This window comes from Homo sapiens, chromosome 14, assembly GCF_000001405.40.
Source record: "Homo sapiens chromosome 14, GRCh38.p14 Primary Assembly".
In the NCBI taxonomy this organism is placed as follows: domain Eukaryota; kingdom Metazoa; phylum Chordata; class Mammalia; order Primates; family Hominidae; genus Homo; species Homo sapiens.
Window position 1 is genome coordinate 59,150,638 of NC_000014.9, and position 7,286 is coordinate 59,157,923.

The following is a 7,286-nucleotide window of genomic DNA, read 5'->3' on the forward strand; positions in this document are numbered from 1 at the left end:
GCAGCAGCAGCCCCCTCAGTTCTCAAGCCTTTGGCCTTGGATTTGGACTTATACCATCAGCTTCTGTGTTTCTCAGGCCTTTGAACTTGGGCCAAATTACTCCATCAGCTTTCGTGGTTCTCCAGCTTGGAGATGGAAGATGGTGGCACGTCTCAGCCTCCATAATCGCATGAACCAATTCCCATAATAAATCTCCTCTTACCGATCTATGTAATCTCTCCATCTCTCCATCCATCTAACCTATTGTTTATCTGGAGAGCACTGATAGATACAAGACCTAAAGCGCGGTATGACTTAGGTAGCAAAAGAGGCAGAGGAGAAGACTCCTAAGCAGAGGATTCAGTATCTACCAAGGTCAGAAGGAAAGAAAATATGACATATTCTAAAAACTGTTAGTTTTGGAGGGTAAATATGAGGAGTGAAGGGTAAGAGAAACAGAGTAAATCTCAAAAGACAAGGATGGGGAAGTGGGCAGGGCCAGTCCAAAGAGGGCCATAAGCCATGCTATGCAGTTTGGACTCTATCCTTAACTAGACAAATGGGAAGTGAAACCAAGTTTGAAGCAAGCAAATAAACTGATCAGTTTGTGTTTAAAAAGACCACTCCGGCCACAGAAGTGAGAATGGAGAGGAGGTAGGCAAAGCTTTTGAGGAGGAATTCATCAGGAAGCTGCCACAGAGAGTAATGTGGCTGGAGCCAGGGTAGTGGCGATGGGGAAGGGAAGAAGTACAGGGGTTGTATTAGTTTGCAAGGGCTGCAGTAACAAAGTGCCATAAATTGGGTGGCTTAAAACAACAGAAATGTACAATCTCACAGTTCTGGAAGCTGGGAGCTTGAAACTAAGATGTCGGCAGGGCTATGCTTCCTCTGACAACTCTGGGGTGAAACTTTCCTTGCCTCTTCTAGCTTCCAGTGTTTGCCAGCCATCCTTGTTTCTCCTGGGTTTGCAGGCGCACCATTCCACTCACATGGCTGTCTCCTCCCTATGTGTCTTCACATCCACATTCCCTCCAGGTGTCTGTCTCTATATCCAAATTTCTCCTTTTTATAAGGACACCAGTTATATTGAATTTGGGCTCACCCCAATGACCTCAGTTTAGCTTGATTACCCCTGTAATCTTATGCTTGACTTCTGAGGTCCTGGGGATTAGGACTCCAACATATCTTTTGGGGGGACAAAATTCAACCCATAACAGGAGTTCTTTTTTAGTCCAAGCCCCATCTTTCCCCTGATGCTCTGGGTCAGATGGATGCCTTGTCCCCTGGGCCTGAGCCCTTGTCCTCCGTGATATGGCACTGGCTGGTTCTTCACAGCCCTTCTTCCAAAGGCTAGAGATGGGATCCTTGGGACTTTCCTACTGCCACTGCTTGCCAGTTCAGCTCTCAAAATATTGTTTGTATCTGAATTCCTCAGCCAAGGCTCTGTCCAGCCCCCACAATGCCCCATTCCCAGGATGTGACATTCCTGTTGCCAATTGACTTTCCTATCAGCTGTCATCTATTTTGTAACCCACTAGATCAGTATTTCTCAAAGTGTAATCCAGAGACCACCTGCAGCAGAATCACCCTGGAGTATTGTTTAAAATGTGGTTTATTTTGATCCACATAACCCCACTGAATCAGAATCTCTCTCTAGCTGTGGGGTCTGGGAATTCATGTTTGTAACATGCTGTGCTAGTGGTTTTTGTGAACACTCCAGGTTATTCATTCTGCTTACCTGGCTTCCTCCCAGCATTGCTGCAGGGTCTGCCTCCCAGGGTTGGCACTGTGTCTGTAAGTAGGGCTCATCCCAGGCCCATCTCCCTTTCTAGTCTTTCCCATGCTGTCCTGGTTAAGTTTAACCATTCCAAATCACCAACGTGGATCTCACAACCAGAGGAGGAAGAATAGTCTTGAAATAAATTATTCTTATGAAGAAAAGACTCAAGTATTGGAATTTCACTTGACCTGATGAGGGCAGGTAATTACACACAACTGATGAAAATTCAGTGAGAATAAAGTTATTTATTGATGGGCTCTAAGAATGCCCAGAAATGAGGTGGCTCACGCCTGTAATCCCAGGAGTTTGGGAGGCCGAAGCGGGCGGATCATGAGGTCAGGAGATCGAGACTATCCTTGCTAACACAGTGAAACCCCGTCTCTACTAAAAATACAAAAAAATTAGCCAGGCGTGGTGGCAGGTGCTTCTAGTCCCAGCTACTCGGGAGGCTGAGGCAGGAGAATCGTGTGAACCTGGGAGGCAGAGCTTGCAGTGAGCCGAGATCGTGCCACTGCACTCCAGCCTGGGCGACAGAGTGAGCCTCCATCTCAAAAAAAAAAAAAAAAAAAAAAGAATGCCCAGAAAAATTTAAAACTGGATAAGGTATCAACAGGAGAATCATATAATGATTAAGTATATATATATAAAATATTATGATATATAACATTATATATATTATACATGTATAAAAACATAAAATTGATAGCAGTGATAGACTATCCAGAGCCCTGACTGCTTCCCTCAACCCTGAACATTCATCATCACTCTAATTCAAAAGAATCATAGTCTGAAAGTTCTCAATCATCTGATATTTAAACAAGGAAATATACCTTCTGATGGTTTTAAGGATTTGGAGTTTTGAGTTTGACTCCAGTATAAGTGTGTATATGATAGATAGAAGTATGCAAAAATGTTCATTTTTAAAGCTCAGTTCACACATAAATTTTTAGTTTTTCTTTGAGGGGTTGAAGTTTCAACTCTATTTAACCCCCAGAAGAGAGCAGGCGGCAATCCCAGTGCAGAAGCAGCACTCCTACGGGTGCCAATAAATATTTGATGATGTTGATCATTTTCTTGCCCAAGGCTGAGAGAGTATCATCAACGGAGGTATAGATGATCATCTCCCCAGTGGTTTGCTTTTATTTATGCATAAAACTCATCTCAGACTTTTACTTGTTAATAATGTTATATGTTGTAATGGTAGAGGGTTTTCTAAGTGCTGATGCCTACCAGTTGTAGGTAAGTAAATCCTTCAGTATGGAGAATAGAGTTGGGAAACTCCAGAACAATGCATGGGTTGACAGAATGATTGATTTCACATTTAAATCGATGGAAGAACTAACGTAATTATTCAAATGGTTTAAGCCAAAATAAACCAATTTGGTCTACAATTATATGTCCTGAATATTTTAGTTAAATTGGGCTGTTATTCATTTCATTTGCCCATTTTATAAAGATGAACCCACCATAATTACACTGTTTAAAGAAAAAGATGCTTCCATGCAATTTTAATTCACCAAACTTGCATTTCTAATAGCAACAACAAGCAGCCTATATGCAACCAACATTTGCTATGCGTTGTTAATCTGTTTTTAAGCCTACCTTCATAATTAAAAAAAAAAACCTTTCTTGATGTTTATTCTGCCTTCTTTAAACAGTTGATGCTAAGGTGAGGGTGTTTTATAGTAATAGGCAAAGCCAGAGGTTGTTGAACCTCTGATACCATCAGAGACTTGACAAAATTTACTTGAATAAGAGGAGGCTTATCTTTCCTGCCTTCTCACCTCTTTTTTTGACCCTGAGCCTACCATCTACACAACACTTTCTATACTGAGCTTCAACTTATCATCCATTGTGCAAAACCTCTTATTGAAACCCCATTCAGGTTTCACACCCTCTCCAAGTATCCTATAAAATAATATATATAAATACTGCCATTCTCATTTTCCCTACTCCACTTCAAAAACATTTTCCTTAGCCAGAAATGAATAAAATCTAGCTGATGAAAGTAGTTCACATTAATGCTATATTGTAAAAGAGTATTAGATTAAATATGGAAGAAAAAGAATAAAATAGGCTTCTCAGTGGCCCTCTCCATGGTTATCTGCTTTCCCATGACAGATAAACAGGAAGAACAACTGGGCACCCCACCTTTGAAAGAATGCCTCCCCGCCTTCCTGTTTACTGCATACTTTGCAATACGCTTTCTGACTGGTTAATCTTAGCCTTTCTAATATGAATGTGACTGTACTTTGAAGATCTTATATGTAGACCTCAGAAAGAGTTACTCTTTCATCTACTCCCATGAAATGGTCCCTCTGAAACCCAAACAGAATGTAAAAAACTTTGATTTTTACTTCATTTTGTCTACTCTTATACATATAATAATCTTTCTGGTTTTAGATACTGTAGGTAATTTGGGAATCCCAAACTATGTAAATAACCACACCTTCTCTAAGTTTCAAATATCCACAAACTAAACTACTTCCATAAAAGACCTTTCGGAAAGAAAAGGCTAGCACTGAAAATGTGTGCTGTTTTTTCATTGAACTCAATTTAAAAATAGCCCCATACCATGTTGTTAATATTTGTTTTTAATGTGCAGCTATAAAAGAATTCACTGGGGCAAACAAAAGTTGACTTTTAAAAGGCCAAGGCAAGGCTAGGCCTGGTGGCTCATATCTATAATACCAGCCCTTTGGGAGGCTGAGGCAGGAAGATCCCTCAGGCCCAGGAGTTCGAGGCTGCAGCGAGCTTTGATGGTGCCACTGGACTTCAGCCTAGGTGCAGAGTGAGACCCTGTCTCAAAAAAAAAAAAAAAAAAGGCTGGGGGACAAGGTAATCCTTGTGTGTGTGTGTGTGTGTGTGTGTGTGTGTGTGTGTGTGTGTGTGTGTTGCAAACTTTATATATTTAAAAATTGTGCCAGCCGGGCACGGTGGCTCACGCCTATAATCCCAGCACTTTGGGAGGCCAACACATGTGGATCACCTGAGGTCAGGAGTTCAAGGCCAGCCTGACCAACATGGCGAAACGCCGTCTCTACTAAAAATACAAAAAATTAGCTGGGTGTGGTGACATGCGTCTGTAATCCCAGCTACTCAGGAGGCTGAGGCAGGAGAATCACTTGAAGCCAGGAGGCGGAGGTTGCAGTGAGCCGAGATTGCGCCACTGCACTCCAGCCTGGGTGACAGAGTGAGACTTCATCTCAAAAAAAAAAATTGTGATCTAGTGTCCTTTAGATTTCTTCTTTCTTTTTCAATGAGATACATTGGGATAGGTTCTATTTTAAAGTGTGTCTGAGCCTATAGAAAAGAAATAAAAACAAAGGGCAAGGATACTGGTTCCAGGCAAACTTTAAACTCTAAGAGCAAAAGTTACCAAACTGGCTTAACTTAGTGTCAGGCCAAACTCAGTTTAGGGACAGGGCCATGATACAAAACAATAACTGCACAAATAATATTTAACAAAGTAGCATTTTGAGTGTAAGTCTGAATTACTGTGGGAAGAAAAGTTTATAGCCTTTTTTTTTCTCCATGTCGAGGTTTATCAGCAGAGTTTCACAATGGGAAAAAGAATGTAACTGTCATATGATAAACTACATTTATACAGAAGAAATAACGAGCTTCATCCTGAAGATAAACAATTCAATACATAAGCATTTCAAGCTGATAAAACAAGGATAGATCAAGAGCAATCCACAGCTAAGCACTCGAGAGACCACAGGTAGGAATGCAGCCTGACCCCAATGCTGAATAAGAGGAACATTTGAAGTATTCCCACTACTATGCAATGCTAGAAGCCTGTAGGAAGCCTTTATCTTAGTAGTTGTGGTGGTTAGAATAGAGCCCAAAATACTGTAACAAAGAGACCCCCAAATCCAGTGCCTTCAGTAAGATGGGAGTTTGCTTTTTTCACACATTACTGCCCAGAGGTATAATAGTTGAGCATTCTGGGGCAAGTAGGTGGCTCTGTTTCAAGGACAGACAGGGAGGCAGGTTTGCTTTTATTTTGTTGATCCACCTTCTGTTAAGGTGTTGCCCTCAGCCTCATGACTGATGGTGGTTCGTTAGCAGCACCAGACTCAGAAGCAGGGAATGAAAAAGGAGAGGGCAACCAACCTCTTTTTCAAGGACATGCTCTGGAAACTGCATACATCACATATGCTCACAGCTAGACACAAAGGAGCTGGGAAATGTCATTCTGACACTGAACAGTCAGGTGTCCATCTAAAACACAAGGGTTTCCCTGCTCAAAGGAGAATGGATTTGGGGATTTAGTTAGCATTCTCTCCCATATTAGTTAAGGATGACAAGCTTCAGAATGTGTGTGTGTGTGTGTGTGTGTGTGTGTGTACATAGTCATACACAAGCATTCTTAAGATATATTAGGGGCTTATATGTAAGGCAATATTCCTTAATGGCTAAGATGGATCGAAGGTAGACTTTGAGGCTGGGAAGACTTGAGTTTGATTACATCCTGCATCTCTAACTGACTAAGTCTATACATCTTGGAAGCATTCATTTTCTTACCTATAAAATGAAGATAATTCTTACCTCATAAACTGGTGTGAGGGGAAAATTAAATAATGTGTATTGTTGTATAATAAATAATTTGTCCTGGATTCCTGGCAGGAAGCTCCTAAAATTCTTGGAATTTCCCCGGTGGTCAGTGTCTTTATTATTTTCATGAGCCCCTCGGGTCACACCTGAGTTTATGCTAATGAGACAGAGAAGGTCCAAGATGGGGACTAGATATCAGAAAGACCAACCATGTGATTAGATGGTTGAGGCTTTAAGCCCTGTGATATCAGCCAATCTCCTGATCTCTGGGGATGGGAGAGGGCTGGATATTGAGTTCAGCTGTGTGTCCAATGATTCAATATGTAATGAAGCCTCAGTAAAAACTCTAGACACTGAAGTTCAGTGGATCTTCCTGGTTGATCAACACATCGATGTGCCAGGAGGGTGACACATCCTGATCCCAGAAGGAGAACACATGGAAGCTCTGCATTCGAGACCCTCCCAGACCTTGCCCTGTGTGTCTTCATTGAGAGAGTCTTGATTTCCATTCTTTATAATGAAACTCTAATCCTAAGTGTAGTGCTTTTCTGAGTTGTGTGAGTTGTTCTCATGAATTATCACACCTGAAGTGGTTATGAGAATCTCTGAATTTGTAGCCAGTCAGTCAGAAGTGTGGGTATCCCAGGGACGCTTGAAGTGTGGCTGGCATCTGCAGTGAGGGTAGTCTTGTGAAGGGCTGAGCCCTCAACTTGTGGGGTCTGCATCAACTTTAGGAGGTTAATGCCAGAACTGAATCTTGTTAATTCCTCTTTGACATAAAGCACATGCCTTGGCTAGCCAGGTAAAGGCAACTTTGTGAGTCCAGAGCCTACTCTTCCTCATGGTGGCAGCCCTCAGAATATAGGCACAAGGTCACCTTTGGCTTGAATAGAACTCCTCCTTCTCCAGTCACTTCAGATTCAGAGGGGGTCATAAGCCTGTGTATTTTGTAAGGGCACTTGTGTAG